Source organism: Homo sapiens, chromosome 4 (genome assembly GCF_000001405.40).
Source record: "Homo sapiens chromosome 4, GRCh38.p14 Primary Assembly".
NCBI lineage: Eukaryota > Metazoa > Chordata > Mammalia > Primates > Hominidae > Homo > Homo sapiens.
This window is the reverse complement of record NC_000004.12, coordinates 184,410,381-184,427,257: the sequence shown is the minus strand read 5'-3', so window position 1 is coordinate 184,427,257 and position 16,877 is coordinate 184,410,381. Positions and strand designations below refer to the sequence as shown.

The following is a 16,877-nucleotide window of genomic DNA, read 5'->3' as shown; positions in this document are numbered from 1 at the left end:
CCCATATCTCAAGGTCTTACCACAATGTATTTTTCTAGGGTTGCTCTATCTATAGTGTTTTAGATTTACATATGTAATCAGCTTCTTCCAAAGAAACAAACAAGAAATGGAGTTGCTCCTTGGTCAGCTCAGTTAGCAGGGGTGCCGTGGAGGTATAAGGAAGGGGGGACCAGAGTAAAGGGGAGCTGGAGAGCCAGGGTAGCAAATGACACTGAATGAAAGCTGACTTGTACTCAGCACTTACTGTGTGCCAGGCACCCTTCTAAGCAAGGTACATGCATTAGCTCACGTTCCGCCACCATGGGGTAGGTACAGTTAATATTTTCCATTTTACAGACAAGGAAACCAAGGCACAGAGAGGTTAAGTAAGATTCTGTTTTGAGGAACAAGGTAGCATTACTGTTTGATGTGGAGTGGGAGAGGAAAGCAAATGCTCCTGTGTTCTAAAGAGAAGCAAGTGGTCTGCTTCTGCTTTTCCTTTTTCAAAAATACCTCCACTAGTTTTGGTTGGCAGGATGCAGTGGAGAAGAGACAGTGTCTCACACCTCTCCTGTTGAGCAGGTGCCTGATATGTTGACCGCTGTGGTTGGTTTAGACTAACCATTAGTCCCTTCTTGGTGCTGTAGTAGATGGAACTGTGGCTCCCGGAGAAGATATGTCCACATCCTAACCTCCAGAACCTGTGGATGTCACCTCATTTGGAAAAAGGGTTTTTGCAGATATAGTGAAGGACCTTGAGATGAAATCATCCTGGATTTTCTGGGTGGGCCCTGATGCCAATGAGGAGTGTCTTTATAAGAGACAGAAGAGGAGAAGGCACACACAGAGGAGAGGGGCATGTGAGGACTGAGGCAGAGACTGGAAATAGGCAGCCGCAGCCGAGGGACTCCAAGAAGAGGCGAGGAAGGATCCTTCCCAGAGCCTTGGAAAGGAGTGAGCCCTGGCTGGGCGCAGTGGCTCACGCCTGTAATCCCCGCACTTTGGGAGGCTGAGTTGGGCAGATCACCTGAGGTCAGGAGTTTGAGACCAGCCTGGCCAACATGGTGAAACTCCATCTCCACTAAAAACACAAAAATTAGCTGGGTGTGGTGGCAGGTGCCTGTAATCCCAGCTACTTGGGAGGCTGAGGCAAGAGAATCACTTGAACCTGGGAGGTTGAGGTTGCAGTGGTGGAGGTTGCGTGAGCTGAGATTGCACCACTGCACTCCAGCCTGGGTGACAGAGCAAGACTCCATCTCAAAAACAAACAAACAAACAAACAAACAAACAAACAAACAAAAACCGGAGTGAGCCCTGCAGAGACCTTGATTTTGGACTTCTGGCCTTCAGGACTGTGATGGAATACATTTCTGTTGCTGTGAGCCACCCAGTTTGTGTAATTTTTCATGACAGTCTTAGGAGATTGATGCACCCTCTAAGGGTCACTTCCTTTCTGGGACTCTCAGTTGAGATGCCTTTTCTTCCATCTATTTTGTCCATGTTTTTCTGATACAGGACCAGAAGGCAAATGGATTTCCCTTTGTGCAAATGAACACTTGGCCCCTTTCAGGCAGTCCTTACCTGCTGAGCGTCACTCATCTGGCTCTTGGCTCGAGAGTTCTCTTCCCGAGGCATGGAAGGAAAGGAGACCTCTGTGTCATCTCACAGGGCTCCTCCGCTACAGCTGGACCTGAGCCAGGCTGATGAAGGAGAGCGTGCCCGTGGCTGCCGGCCCGTGCCGCCTCTCAGCACCGCCCTGGAACAGAGGCCGAGGCCTGCACTGTGGCCCCGAGGCCCTGTCAAGCTGCATCCTGCTGAGGCCTAGCCAGAGTGGGCACGTGGCATTGCTCGTGCACATGGGCACTGCCATCACTGTCACTGCAGGCCTCGGCTGGGGTCAGGATCTCTTCTCTCCATACCTACACTCCCACAGGGCATTTTTTTATAGGTTTCCGTTAACTTAGGCTTGTTGGCATTCATCTGTCCATATAAATACTTAACTGAGAGCCTAATGTTCTTCCCTCCCATTCACAAGCATTCTGCCTGGGAATCCTTGTTTATATTTTGAGTGGTTTGAGGTCATTCCAAGATCTCTTTTGCCACTGAAGATTGTTGTAACTCTTAGAATACACTGTCCATGGGGCTGTGGGACTCACTTCTGCTTCAGTCGGCATTCAGGATGTGTTCATGTTTATTGTGAAGTGCTCCAGGCTGGGAGCCCCATGCACCAGTGCCTTGGCTATCTTCTTCATGTCTGCATGCTCAGGGCCAGGCCTAGTGCCTGGTAAGTGGGAGGCCCTCTGTCAAAATTGTTCTGGGAATACACAGATGAATGTCATGGATTTGAAGGGGAGCAACATTGGTGGTGTTTTTGTTCTGTTAAGATAATCAGATTTATGGACACTGGCTTGGCAGTTGTCACATGGCTCTCAGAAAGTCCATTCAACCTACTCCATTCTTAGTAAGAGAGAAAGAGTTGGTTAATTAATGCCTTAAATTTGTTTCCATCCTCTATTGTCTTAGTCTGTTCCCTGTTGCTTCTAACAGAATACCTGACTCTGGATAATTTGTAAAGAAGAGGAATTTATTTCTTACAGTTATGGAGGCTGAGAAGTCCAAGGTTGAGGGGCTGCATCTGGTGAGGGCCTTCTTGCTGGTGGGGACCCTCTGCAAAGTCCTGAGGCAGTGCAGGATATCACCCGGTGCGGGGAAAGAGCATGCTCACGTGCTAGCACAGGTCTCTCTTCCTCTTAAAAAGCCACAATCCTACCCCTCATGACAACTCATTAATCCATTAATCCCTGAATGGATTAATCCATTCATGAGGGCAGGGCCCTCATGACTCAATCACCTCTTAAAGGCCTCACCTCTCAGTACTGCCACATTGGGGATTAAATGTCAATATAAGTGTCATAGGGGGCAAATATTCAAACCATAGCACCTACTTTTAATAAGTTTGAAGGAGGGTGGGAATGGAATGGGTCCCTTGGATTCCTCTGAAGGAACAGCGAGGAAGTTTGGAAAAGTGCATTATAACCAGCTCATGAATGAGACCTTGGCTGGGGCAATTTACCTTTGGTTATGGGTATTTGCAAATGTGCATAGCATGTTTGAGTAGCCCAATGACAAAAAGAAATAGGATAGCAAATTTTCATATGCCTGTATCTAGATGTATGAATATTTTGCCTTATCTTTGTGTGTGTGTGTGTGTGTGTATCTGTGTGTATCTGGTATATTAAAGCAGCTCCCTGACAGCATACATTGTAAGACATAAGGGCATTTTCTTATATATCCACAATATACCATTGTTAATTGGACAAAATTAGTACTGTTTAATATCATCACTGCTCCATTCATATTAAGAATGCCTTGAGTATTCCCAAATAATCTTTTTACAGTTGATTTGTTCAAATCAGAATTCAAAGACTGTCCACAGGTTGTGTTTGGTGTTTATGACTCTAAGTCTCTGCTGACTGTGGGCCTCTGTTTTTTTCCTTCTCGCCATTGACTTGTTGAGACCAGGTTAGTTTTGGGTTTGTCCACATGCTTGCTTGTGGTTCCCTGGGCCATTTCTTGAGGAAGGAAGGAGGCAGTCACATCCGGGGTCCTGGTTTCTCTCGTGGCTCCATGTGACCCCCAACTCTGGTGGGGTTATTGATGTTCTTAGTTCTTCCTGGATCCATGCACTAAGGCAGGGGAATCATCAGATCTTTCCCTTTTTTTCACTTTGAGAGTAGACTTGTGTTTGTGTAAACATCAGGCTATCTCTGACCACGGTAAGGAGTCCAGACAAAAATAGCACACTAATTGGAACGTCTTGCAAATGTTGGGGGGAAGAAGAGGCAGAGGAGATAACAGAACTAGTTTCCATGTGGGGCCAAGGAACATTGTTCTACATTGCTCAAAATAATGTCAGATGCTTTTCTGAAGTCAAGCAGCGCTCATCTCTCCTGCCTTCCTTCAGATGGGCAGAGTTGTGCACACACGTACAAATGGTGGGCCCTGGCATGGCGCGTCTGTCTATACACAGCATGTACCACCACCACGTGTGCAGGACTGGTCACTCGGGGATGAGACACCTGGCACATACTGACGTCACGGGGTCTACACACACATAGCAACACCGTCATGTCCCATGGAACACACAACTTGTGACCAGAATGTTTACTGGTCAGAATCTCTTTCAGTTTTAAAATGAATCTTGCTTTCTCTTACCTTTTCATATGGTCTTCTTCAAAAAAAGAATCTGTGATACAATTTTAAAGATATTTCTGATAAGTTTATTAGTCTTTTCTTTTTTTTCCTGAAGTATGAAAAACTAGGTAAAGGTGACATGTAGTTTAAAAAATATTTACCATTTTAAAGTGACATTCACGATGTCATGCAGCCATCACCACTGTCCAGTTCCAGAACTTTTTATCCCTCCAAAAGGAAATGCTGTACCCATTAATCAGTCACTTCCCATTTCCCTCCCCCCTAGCTTGTGGCAACCAGTAATCTGCTCTCTGTCTCTATGGATCTCTGCTCTCTGTCTGCTCTCTGCTCTCTGTCTTTTCTGGAATATTTCATGTAAATGGAATCATTCAATTTTTGGCCTTTTGTGTCTGGCTTCTTTCATCCAGCATAATGTTTTCAAGGTTCGTCCACATGGTAGCATGTGTCAATACTCTATTCCTTTTTGTGGCTGAATAATATTCCATTGTATGGATATACCACATTTTGTTTACCCATTCATCAGCTGATGGACACTCGGGTTGTTTCCATCTTTTGGCTTTTGAAAGTAGTGCTGCTATGAACGTTTATGTTTTGGTTTGAATGTTGGCTTAGAATTCTTTGGGTATATATCCAGGTGTAAAATTCCTGGATCATCAGGTAATTCTGTGTTTCACTTTCTTGAGGAATGGCCAAACTTTTTCTCCAGAGTGGCTGTACCATTTTGCATTTCCACAGCGATGTGTGAGGATTCCAGTTTCTCCACATCCTCACCAACGTTTGTTATTTGTGTATCTTTTTTTGGAGACATGTCTGTGGGTTAGTCTGTTTCATGTTGCTACAAAGGACTACCTGGGGCTGGGTAATTTATAAAAAAACGAGGCTTCTTTGGGTCAGGGTTCTAGGCTGTACAAGAAGCATGACCTTGGCATCTGCCTCTGTTAAGGCCTCAGGATGGGAGGCAAAGGGCATTACATGGCAAGAGAGGGAGGAAGAGAGAATGGTGCAGGCGACAGGCTGTTTTGAATAATCAGCTCTCACCGGAGCTAATGGAGTGAGAGCTTACTCATTACCACGAGAACGACACCAAGCCATTCTTGAGGGATCCTGCCCCATGACCCAAACACCGTCCACCAGACCCCACCTGCAACACTAGCGATCAAATTTTAACACGAGATTTTGAGGGGACAAACACCTGAACTATTCCAGTCTACTCAGGCCTGTTGCACATTTCAAGAGGGTCCATAGTGTATGTTGCTGGGTTTGGTCAGCGCTTTTGTAGTTGCATGGCTTTTGCGGTTTCTGTGGGACTAGGTTTGGTTGTGTGTGTGTGTATGTGTATGCATGCATGCGTGCAGATGCTTAAAAAGATCTACTTTATCTGTATCAATTTTGTGTCTTGCAAGTTAGATTTCAGATTGTGTCACCCTAGAACTCCTTTGATCTAGAAAAAAGTGCAACAGCAAATTCTTAAGAATCTCGGTGTTTAAGCATAAAGCTTTAGATTCTGGGCATGCACTTCAGGAAAAGCTCTTTCACGAAATGAATTTTCACTTGTATTCATTTTCATGTGAACATCAATAAATGGCATTAAGTGATTTTGCTGTCGATTTTCATCTACATTAAAGCATAAAATGTCACTCAGCCCCTTTCTGATCACTGTCCTTTTGAAATTGGCTAACCCGAAGCCCTCTCTGTGGATGATACAGAATGAACACCGAGGAATTTATGAAAAAGTCTCTCACTTTCAGTTCTCCTTTAATAACTGACTTTTTAGAAGATGGTAGAATTTTCCTTTTAACAGGTTTTGGGAAACTCTCCAATGTTCTGAAATAGTCTTTGTTCTGGCTTTGTGATTGGTTCTGTGGAGAGGCGCTGAATCTCTTTGGGGACAGCTGGGACCCTTTCTGTGTTTCACTATGTGAGACTGAAGTGGTGGAAACTCCCTGCTGACATTTCCTCTCCTTCCTCAGCATCTAGTGCAGGGATCCGCATACCTAGCAATTACCAGAACTGCCTTGAGAGCTTTGAAAGAGTACAACCTCCTGGGCTTTAATCTCCACAGAATCCAGGTCTCAACTGGTCTGTCATAGGACAGGGACTCTTCCAAATCTAAAAGCTGGGAGACAATGAGTGGGTGATTAAGTAATAGCATATGGAGTCGCATGACCTGGGTTTTGAACTTAGACACTTATTATCCTGCAAGTTCCTTGACTAAATAGTTAAAATCTGCTTCTTGGTTTCCTCAGCTATAAAATGGAAATCGTAACATATACCTCACTCAGTAGGCTGTGGGAGGAAGACAAAACTGAGGTCCCTGTGGATGTGGGTAGTCAGATGCACAGTGCCAATGGGACCTTAGTACCTGCCGGTACCGCCACAAGAGCTGCTTGGGCCAGGTTCCTCATCTGTAGCTTTACTAAGAGTACGGCTTTGTTACTAAACCATGGGTTTCCAATCATGTGTTTTTCAGGGTTGCTTGAGGCGGTTTTGAGTTACAGACCTCAACACTGAGAGAGATGTAGAGATAGTCTGATATAAGGATTGTATTGAGGGATGTTTCTCCAGAAAAATGTGTCATTTCATAACCTCTACCTCTTTGTTTGCACTTCTTGCTATTTCTTGCAGGCAGTAGACCCACAGGGATTCGAACATTACTTTCTATTTCTGTTGGATGCACAAGCAAATGGAGATATTTGGTTTCTGTGACAGTGGCCTCAGATGTACCCGACTTTTCTTTAGTAGCATCAAGGGTTTTGGAAACTTGTCTAATTTTTAATTTACCTAAGATAGCTGGAGTTACTATTTACCAAACGACGAGAATAAATTATAAGAGTAAGCATTAGAAGTTTCGGTAGGTGGCCATTTTTCTGTGGTTTTATAAAAAAAAGAGGCACAGGGCCGGGTGTGGTGGCTCACACCTGTAATCTCAGCAGTTTGGAAGCCTGAGGTGGGCAGATCACTTGAGGTCAGGAGTTCGAGACCAGCCTGGCCAGCATGGCAAAACCCCATCTCTACCAAAAATACAAAACTTGGCCAGGCGTGGTGGCACATGCCAGTAATCCTAGCTACTCAGGAGGCTGAGGTGGGAGAATCTCTTGAACCCAGGAGGTGGAGGTTGTAGTGAGCCGATATCGCGCCACTACACTGCAGCCTGGGCAACAGAGCGAGACTCTGTCTCCAAAAAAATATATTGAAAACTAGAAAAGAGGCACAAATAATGGAACACACAAGGTCAAATCATCACCTTTGACCTTGGAAAACATTCCTGCTCTGCAAGACTTCACGAGACTGACTGTCACTCGGGGTAGTCTATCAAGATTTGGGATCCAGCGGGGGAAGTGGGTTTGGTTTACAGTAGATTTTCTTGTCAGCAGTCAACACATTCAGCGATGCTTGCTGGGGAATCTTGCTGGCTAGACCTTCACAACCTTTTGCAATGGTGGGCCAAAACCCATGACTCCAGTTCTTTACCTTTTTTTTTTTTTTTTTTTTCAGGAAAAGAAGATTTTTCAGATCCCCTGGATGCATGCGGCTAGACATGGGTGGGATGTGGAAAAAGATGCACCACTCTTTAGAAACTGGGCAATCCATACAGGTACTAAAACTCCCTGCGGCGTTTATAGAGGAAGGCACTCTTGCTTAGTTTTGTTTTTATTACACATAAAATAGCCTGGCTTATGACCTCATGAAGATGGCTCTGAAAAACCTGTGACTTGTCCCTAGGCACATCCAGGACACATGGGGTACAAACTGCAGCCCTCAGAAGTAATGCTCCCCTCATCCCATACACTCTTAGTCCTTCAATTTCCTATAAATGTGGTATTCTAAGAAGTTCCCTAGGTGTTACCGGGGAATAGAAACTCAGTTGTTCTGATGCTATAAACTTTGGTCAAATTTATCTCCCCCCCAAAAAGGTAGTCAGAAATACCTGTATTTATTACAACCTTTACGTAGGGAGCTGTTTACAGGAATGGACTTTGTTGGAGCGTCAGATGAAAAAGAGGCACTCAGCTTCCCTCTGCCTGTTGACTTTGCAGCCTCTCAGTCTTCTATATTTTTCTTACGCTGATGCTCCATTCTTCCAGCATTTATAGTTTCCTCAAGCTGTTCAGTAGAACCAGGGTGACCAACTTGTCCCAGTTTGACTGGAACTGTTCAGGTTTTAAAAACAAAATTCCCACATCCCAAGAACTTTCTCACCCCCAGGTACACCAGGACGATTGGTCACTGGAGGTATAGCATGGAGTGAAAAGGTTTCCTTATACTGCCTGACCAGCAATACTGTGTTTCCAGAAATTCCTTCCTCTGTATCTAATGTTTTCTCTCTTTTTCTTAATCTTTGTCTCTTTTGTTAGGAAAGCATCAACCAGGAGTAGATAAACCTGATCCCAAAACATGGAAGGCGAATTTCAGATGCGCCATGAATTCCTTGCCTGATATTGAAGAAGTCAAGGATAAAAGCATAAAGAAAGGAAATAATGCCTTCAGGGTCTACCGAATGCTGCCCCTATCAGAACGGCCTTCTAAGAAAGGTAAAGGCATTTACAGACTAAAATAAGGTAAATCAATTTGTGTCATCGTGCCTTCGTGATCTCTTCATTTCTACATCTGCAGTCAGTTTGCAGGTAGAATAGCCTGTTCATGCTGTAGGGGATCATTCCGCCCCTACCTGGCTTGGAAACAAGACTTTCGATTCACCAGAGGCAGTGAAAGATACATGTGGAATTTTGACCATGTACAGATTAAAGCAACAGGTTCATTGAGAGTTTCAGAAAGAATTTAATTTGAGGGAAATGTTTCTCTGGAGGCCCTTCGTGAATTAATCCAAAACTACATTTTTGTTGCCACAGGAAAGAAACCAAAGACAGAAAAAGAAGACAAAGTTAAGCACATCAAGGTAATCTTGGGTGATTCAGAGAGAAAGCCAAAGTTGGGATCCTATTAATGACTCATATTCTGCCTTGTAAAGATGAGTCACAGGACCTCAGTGTGTCCTCTTTCTTCCTTTGCTTGTGTCTTCTGTGCTTTACATGTTTGCTCTTCAGCATGTATCCACTTGCAGACATGGAGGTACACAGGGCCCTGCCTCATCCCGTTTCTCTGGGAAATTTATGAATGAAGTCACAGATTCTCACTGTGCTCGGCAGGCTGAGGCCTCCATCTGGCCACCACAGCCGTTGCCAGTGGTCATTTTGTGCCAGCTAAACTCCACAACAGCTTATTCTCATACTATTAAGTATATTTTCAGGCTATTAAGTATACTTTAATATGTATTAAATGTTATAGACCTCTATACAATGTATGAACTCTATGTTACAGACATTCCGTCACAGGCCCTTTGGTGGGGGACAGAGTGGTCAATGTCAGCACTCTATCAGAACAGCTCTCAATGGCTGCCTTCTGTCCACTGTAGAATCATCTCTCACACCCCACAAGGGTTTTCCATGGGATGTGCATGTGTGTGTCAGCTTCTCACTAGGCTGTGTCGTCTGAACTCCCCTACAGTCTGAGGATCTTTATGCATAGATTAGGTGGCCCTTGTTAAATAGTAAGAGAAGAGCCGAATATGCCCTGCAAAACTGGGGACGAGCTTCAGTGGCTGAGCAGAGAGCATACACTGCGGTCACAGACCCAGGGATCTCAGAGAGATTGTCGAGCTCCCTGGCCTCCCTTTGCAGATGAAGAAATTTAGGCGGAGGGTGTTTTTGCAGTGATGCTTTCAGTTTCACTTTTACTAGTTTTTATTTTTAACTAAATTTAAATATTGTACTGTATTAAAGGCCTAATTTTGTTTTAACTTTTCATTGTGGAAAGATTTTATGCACATAGGAAGGAGACAGTTGAGTAAAATTTACCCCATAGGCCATCATTCAGATTAATTTTAACCTTAATCAGCTCCTGGCCAGTTTTGCTTCATCAATAGCCCCTCCCATTTCCTGACTTCTAACATGAAATTGCAGCCCTTCAACCATTTTTGACTTACAGAAGTAATTTATTTATTTAATTTTTTTTAAACTGAGATGGAGTTTTGCTCTATTGGCACAGGCTGGAGTGCAATGGCGCGATCTTGGCTCATTGCAACCTCCGCCTCCTGGGTTCAAGCGATTCTCCTGCCTCAACCTCCCGAGTAGCTGAGACTACAAACACGTGCCACCATGCCCAGCTAATTTTTGTATTTTTAGTAGAGATGGGGTTTCACCATGTTGGACAGGCTGGTCTTGAACTCCTGACCTTAAGTGATTCGCCCACCTCAGTCTCCCAAAGTGCTGGGAATACAGGCGTGAGCCACGGCACTCGGCCCCAAAACAATTTTTTATAGTTCAGCTTTTTTTTGAACTATTTTTTGGAATTTGAAGCAAATTCCAAACCTCATAGCATTTCTTCCATAATAGTTCAGTATATATATTTAAAAGATAAGTGCTCTGTAAAAATACCATGATGTCATTACTGTACCTGAAAAAGTTCACAGTAATTTCTCAATATCAGTGAATATCCAGCCAGTGGTCAGAGTTTCAGTTGTTTCATACATGTTATAACATTCGTGTAGTTTGTTACTTAAATTAAGACCCATATAAAATCCACATGTGATTTTTGAATGTCTTTTAAGTATTTTTTAAGGATATATGTTTCTCCTATATTACCTCTTAAAACATTTTTTTTTTTTTACAATTGAACAAACCTAGTTGTTAGCCATATCGTTTCTCACAGTTTTTTTTTTCGTTTTTTTTTTTTTTTGTTTTTTTTTTGAGACAAGGTCTTACTCTGTCACCCAGGCTGGAGTGAAGTGACGCGATCATAGCTCACTGCAGCCCCAACCTCCCGGGCTCAGGTGATCCTCCCGCCTCAGCCTCCCTCTAGTAGTTGGGTCTACAGGTGTGTGCCACCAAGCATGGATAATTTAAAAAAATTTTCTTTTATAGAGGTGAGGTTTCATTCTGTTGCCCAGGCTGGTCTCAAACTCCTGGCCTCAAGTAATCCTCTTGCCTCGGCTTCCCAAAATGTTGGAATTACAAGTGTGAGCCTGGCTGAGTTTGTATTTTTAAGGCCTACGTTTTGATTCATGTTATTTAGTCAGAAAAGCACAGCTTTCTCACACATGTGTGAGAATTTGCTACAATTTCAAGTGTGACTGAATCGTATTTACTACTCTTTTCCCATTATCTAGCTCAGTGCCTGGCCCAGAACAGATCACTAATACGTATTTGATAACTGAATAGATGCATCCGCATTTGTTGACTAAATAGATGTATAAATAAGTAGGATATGTGGGGTGGGAGTGAGGGGTTTTCCATTAGGATGCAGATTTAATTTCATAATCGCAGTTAATGGAGAAATAAGAACGGAGTAACAGATGTTGCCTTTTCAACACACTTTGCTCACATGTACCCACTGTATTCCATCGAACGCCAGATGCCAATGATGCTAAGATGCACTGTTATTTTATGTATCTCTTAGAAAAACTGCTTGCAATGAAACCATGACACGTAATGGATTGAAAGGCATGTCCTCTTTCAGGGATGTGGCAATGCGAGGAAATGTACATCTTAGTAGTTCATGCCATGTGGTGGTCCCGTTTGTCTGGGATCTCTACAGCCACATGGGCACTGGTGGTGTCTTCACATGGCCCTGAAATGAGCAAGTTGTGGAAGGCACGGTCCTGGGTGGGCTTGACCATCCTGGCCCAGGGAAGTAAGTGAGAGATCCCGTTAGGTGCAGCCGTGTGGGTCAAGAGCCACCTCAGCCAAGTGTGTTTTATGAAATCCTTGTGCCGTGAAGATATGATTCATACCTGAAACTTTTTTCTTGAAAGGACCTGATTCCTTCAGCGGAAGGCAGGTGATTCATTAGGCCTAAACACAGCCTTACTTTTGAATTTAGATCTACTTGCATTGTGCTTTCCAGTGTAGCAGGGAAGCTCAGAAGAGGCCAGTGGGCTTCCCGAGTTCTGTGCTTCCTGGCTGTTCAAGCTATTGTGTGGACTCAGTGTCTCTGTAGAGTGTTTGAAAAGTGAACTCCCTAGGGCGTCTGGAATTGGAAAGTCAGAGGACAATTACTAGCTATTAATATATTACTTTTTAATTGTGTATCAAAACACCCAAGCACTGAGTTAATATATCCTGTGCAAATATACTAAACCTACTTAGTCTATCCAAATATGTAACTGGATACACTACGTAGGTTTCTTCTACTGAGGAAATTTGTCTTTCATATGGTAACTAGGTATGAATATTTGCTGTTGAAGCAAGCTTTTCCCAATCTTCAAGTTGAAGTTTTAATTAGCAAACAATGTTTACAACATGTAGGCCAAGTATTAGAATTTTCTTGGGGTCACTCATGATTTATCTCCATGCTATATGTCCCCCAACAAATAGTCTCCCCAAGACTGGAACACCCAAGGCCCATTGGCCATGTGGCAGGTGCAGAAACGGCCTCAGCATCCTCTGACATTTCGCTTTGTGAGCATATCCCTACAAACTCAGTCAGCCATGTTTTCCTTGAGCTAAGCCCCACCTGTGCGGCGGTAACTGGTTATCTAAGGAAATAAGAACAAGAAAAACAGCTGGGTACAGTGGTACATGCCTGTCCCAGCTACTCAGGAGGCTGAGGTGTAGGAGGATGGCTTGAGCCCAGGAGTTTGAGGCTGCAGTGAGCCGTGATTGCACCACTGCGCTCCAGCCTGGGCAACAGAGCAGGACCCCTTCCCCACCTCAAAAAAGAAAGAAAAACAATAATGAGAAATCCTGGATTCTACATCATCAGTGCATGTATATGTTTCAGAAAATATCATGGAACGGTTTGCTCTGAGACTTCAGACAAGGCCAAGAACAGTAAGAATAGAAGTAGTTAAAACAGAGGGGTGCTAGTTGATATTTTTGAGCTGATTCCAAGTTCCCAGCTATGATTTTTGTCTCACTGAGTTCTCCCTGTGATGGGCAGGTCATTTCCCTTTTATACATTTAGGAAATGGGTGCACAGAGAAGCTGATTCATTTTCCCAAGGCTGCATTGCTTTACAGAGCTGAGATTTGAATCCAAGTTTGTCCACCGGGTGCCTCGTAGCCTTTGGGGCCTAAGCCAGGCCTTGAGGGGTGGACAGGGTCAAACTGGTCCTTCCGCAGCACTAGGGGCATCAGGAATGAAGGCCTGGAGATTACAGTTGGTTTGTCTTTCCTGGATGAGACAGGAAACTGGCTTAATTAGAGCAGGAGTTTGTGTGAGAGGGCAATGGGAAATACAGGCATGTAGGTGGGGCGAATAGAAATGGGTACTTCCTGCTTCGGAGGGTTGTTTGCAGCTGAAACATACATGCTTGAAACTGTAAAGTGCTTCCGGATCAAAGTGTTAGTGTTATGAAGGAGACAGAATTGGGAAGGGCTGCCAAAGTCGCTTGGAAAAGATTAGGCCTGGTCTGTATTCGTTCTGAGCACAGACCTATGGGTAGAAGTTACAGAAAAGCAGATAGGGGTTCGGCTGCTCTTTCTCATAGAGCTGTTGGCTCTAACAGTGACCTGAGCTGGATTAAAACACAGCACACTCCCTGGCAGGGCTGCTACTGGAGTGATCCCTTCACTAGTTGGAAGAGGTCTTCAGTTTTTAAACTTTAATCAAATGAAAGCACACACCAGCAACTCACTTGAAAAACAGATAAGATGAGAGATGCCCTGGGTGAAGCAGGTTATCAGGCTTATTCTGCCTGCCCGGGATCCTCCCTTCCCATGTGGTAGCTCAGAACGGGAGCTCCGAACCCAGTTGGAAGAGCTTGAGGGACAGTTTTACGGAATGAGACACAGTTGAACTCCTTGTAGCACACTTAGAGCAGGCGGGAATTGATATGTAAGGGAGGCCTTTCTCACCGGGATGGGAAGGAGTGGGAGGCAGGAGAGACTGCTGTGGAAAGGCAGTAGCTGGTGCCACTGGCATGGAGGGAGGAGACATTTCTCCAGAAAGTGGAAGAGGGTACGGAGGATGCAGATAAGAGCGGCCTAAAGAGGAGGCCCCGGCGTTTTGCACCTTCAGAAGCGAGTGTTGGGAATGCAGGTCGTTTTGTGGAGAGGGTGTTTCGCTTTGGACATGCTGCCTTTGAAGTGACAGAGAGCCCTGAAGGTAAATGCCAGCTAGAAAGTTGGAGGGTACAGCACTTGAGTGAGTGCCCAACGGGCAGATGTGTGGTCATTTACTTGAGAATGGCGTTGGTAGCTTTGGAAACTGATGCCTTCTCTAAGAGATGCAGACAAAGGCCCGCAGAGAAGATGCAGAGAAAAGTGAGCTAAGGGAAAAAGTCAAGAGGGAAGCTGCAGTGAGAGAAGGGAGGAAGAGAATGACGATGGCCTCATTCCAAGCAAGGAGCAGAAGGAAGGTGGTTCTGGGACCGGGCAGGAGGCCCCAGCCTGTCTTACGAGAGCTTCTGTTGTCAGTGGCATTGCGCCTCTGTGCTGGGTGTGTGCACTCGCCAAGGTCCAGTTCCCTGACCTGCTTGTGAAGTCCAGCTGTCAGCCTACACGTTCTGTTAGCAGAGACTTAGAGATGTCCTTAAATTTGATGTCCTTAAATCTGGCTTCAAAGAGACTGGCTTTGCACAGATGAGTTAGAGCATTTTGGAAGGTGGGAGGTGGGCTGGAGGCCCATTAAATGGGACTTCAGGGACAAGGGGCATTAGCACAGGGTTGAGACAGCATGGGCTCGGAGCAGAGGGGAGTCCCTCTGCTGTCCTCTAACTCTGGTCTGTCCCCAAGCCCATTCAGCAAGTGTAGCTTCAAGACCAGCTAAAGGTGTATTATTTTACAGGTCTAAAGAAGTGTGCTCCTGCCCCTGAACTCTCTCTTGTGCCAGTTTGCTTTTGCTTAAAATCCCTTAAACCAGAGACCAAACCTTGGATTCTGTAATTATAGCAAAGGTTCTTGAGCGTCAATGTTTGGCGGAGTTCATGCACCCACGTAGATCAATCCTTGGATTCTACAATTAGAGCAAAGATTTTTGAACATAAATGTTTGCTGGAGTTCATGCACCGTGGAGAAGTCTGGACCCAAGCAGAGTCTTTTTTTTTTTTTTTTTTTTTTTTAATCTTTGGAGCAAGGGGAGAAAATTAAAAGCCAAGAAAGCTATGGGTTACTTGATTTACAGAAGAGTCTCTATCTAAAGTGAGAAAGGGAGCAGACAGAGGGGATGTGAATCCTGACCAGGATTAACCGGGCCAGGTTATGGTGCAGCAAAGCAGGAGTTGAGCCAGGGCAGGAGTGGGGCATCGGGGGTCCAGGAGAGGCTTCGGGCGAAGAGTGTTCAGGGCCTGCAGGATCTCTGTGTTTATTTTACATAGAGAACTCCACACCCCTTTTCTTCATTTGAGATCCTTGGATTTTTAATATACCTTAGATTTAGATATTCCTACTTCTAATCATTTCAAAAATTGTGACCCAGTTTAGTGAAGATCCTTCTCTCCTGGGCCTGTTCTGCACCCTGGATGGAGGTGTTTCGGGAGGTGCTGGCTCCGTTTTACTGTGCCATTGACTGTACTGTCTGTCCAGAGTGACGGTGTCAGTGAGATGATTGGCACTGATGGCTCTGAAATGACAGGGTTTCTTTTGAAGTGGGGTGAGGGGAGTAACACAGTGTTTGGAATAGTCTCTCCTAGCCTCCATCGGTGGAATATATGATGCCATTATAGAAGTGGTCAGTGCAGGATACAGGGTAAGAATGGAGAGAGTAGAAGGCTGGGCATGGTGGCTCATGCCTGTAATCCCAGCACTTTGGGAGGCCGAGGTGGGCAGATCACCTGAGGTCAGGGGTTCGAGACCAGCCTGGCCAACATGGTGAAACCCCATCTCTACTAAAAATACAAAAAATTAGCCCGGCATGGTGGCAGGCACCTGTAATCCCAGCTACTTGGGAGGCTGAGGCAGGAGAATCTCTTGAACCCGGGAGGTGGAGGTTGCAGTGAGCCAAGATCACGCCATTGCACTCTAGCCTGGGTGATAGTGTGACACCCCATGTCAAAAAAAAAAAAAAAAGTGTGGAGAGAGAGTAGAACAGTGTTCAAAAGAGTGTCTCAGTCTCCGCTGGAATTAGGGCAGGATACAAGGGCTTCTTAAGACAGAAAGCTCCTGGAATTGAACCATATTTCGTGACCAAAGACAGAGTTCAGTTCCGGTGTCTCTGCAGGCTAAAAGTAGCGTGATCTTGGAAAATTAATTTAGTCTCTGAGTCATCGTTTTCTCAAGTGATAAAAGTATCACTTGTCACTAATTAAACTGTAGATCATGTGTAACACTTAGAGGTCTTCAATGGAGAAATCAGAATTAATTTAGCTTTTTAAATATATGCAAGCCTGACTGCCTCATTACTTTTATAAGAAACCTAGAAACAGAATGACTAAAAAAATAAGGTCAGACAGCAAAGGAAGCCCATACAAATGAGCAGTTCTCTTGTAACTTCTTCAGAGGCCTGTGCTTAGTTCTTTTTGAGGGAGTTGAAGAGATGGAGGTGGACTAGTGAAAGGTGGGGCATGACTCGGGGTGGGGAAACTGACCAGGGGTCATTGAGGACGCCATTGAGAAAGGAGGCTGCTGTTGGAGAGATGGAGAATTGCAGCAGTGTCAGACAGTTCAGGCCGCCATGGAGGGATAGCATGGTCCATCAGAGGTCAGCATATGGGGCTGGGGGAAGGGATTTGAGAAAAGGCCATTGGAT

At 44.8% G+C, this 16,877-nt stretch overlaps 1 protein-coding gene across 1 annotated transcript in view, besides 5 other annotated features; it reads left to right on the top strand.

Moving 5' to 3' along the window:
- The window catches only part of IRF2 (interferon regulatory factor 2), an 86,822-nt gene that overhangs the window by 47,293 nt on the left and 22,652 nt on the right, over window positions 1-16,877 (top strand). The window contains exons 3-5 of the mRNA NM_002199.4: window positions 7,690-7,789; window positions 8,550-8,726; window positions 9,045-9,091. Of these exons, the coding sequence (NP_002190.2) occupies window positions 7,690-7,789; window positions 8,550-8,726; window positions 9,045-9,091 (324 nt within the window). The remainder of the gene's footprint in view (window positions 1-7,689; window positions 7,790-8,549; window positions 8,727-9,044; window positions 9,092-16,877) is intronic.
- Window positions 8,038-9,237: an enhancer, noted in NCBI's record as "MED14-independent group 3 enhancer chr4:185339175-185340374 (GRCh37/hg19 assembly coordinates)". NCBI's record gives its function as "activates an origin of replication core promoter dependent on BRD2, BRD4, P300/CBP and CDK7 cofactors, and independent of MED14, by STARR-seq in HCT116 cells {active_cell/tissue: HCT116}" and the evidence as "EXISTENCE:reporter gene assay evidence [ECO:0000049][PMID:35650434]".
- Window positions 8,038-9,415: a biological region, named in NCBI's record as "MED14-independent group 3 enhancer GRCh37_chr4:185339175-185340374".
- Window positions 9,116-9,415: an enhancer, noted in NCBI's record as "active region_22217". NCBI's record gives its function as "activates an Ori minimal core promoter by ATAC-STARR-seq in GM12878 lymphoblastoid cells {active_cell/tissue: GM12878}" and the evidence as "EXISTENCE:reporter gene assay evidence [ECO:0000049][PMID:35858748]".
- Window positions 9,606-9,775: an enhancer, noted in NCBI's record as "active region_22216". NCBI's record gives its function as "activates an Ori minimal core promoter by ATAC-STARR-seq in GM12878 lymphoblastoid cells {active_cell/tissue: GM12878}" and the evidence as "EXISTENCE:reporter gene assay evidence [ECO:0000049][PMID:35858748]".
- Window positions 13,709-14,003: a silencer, noted in NCBI's record as "tiled region #12125; K562 Repressive DNase matched - State 5:Enh". NCBI's record gives its function as "represses a minimal TATA promoter and a strong SV40 promoter by Sharpr-MPRA in K562 cells {active_cell/tissue: K562}" and the evidence as "EXISTENCE:reporter gene assay evidence [ECO:0000049][PMID:27701403]".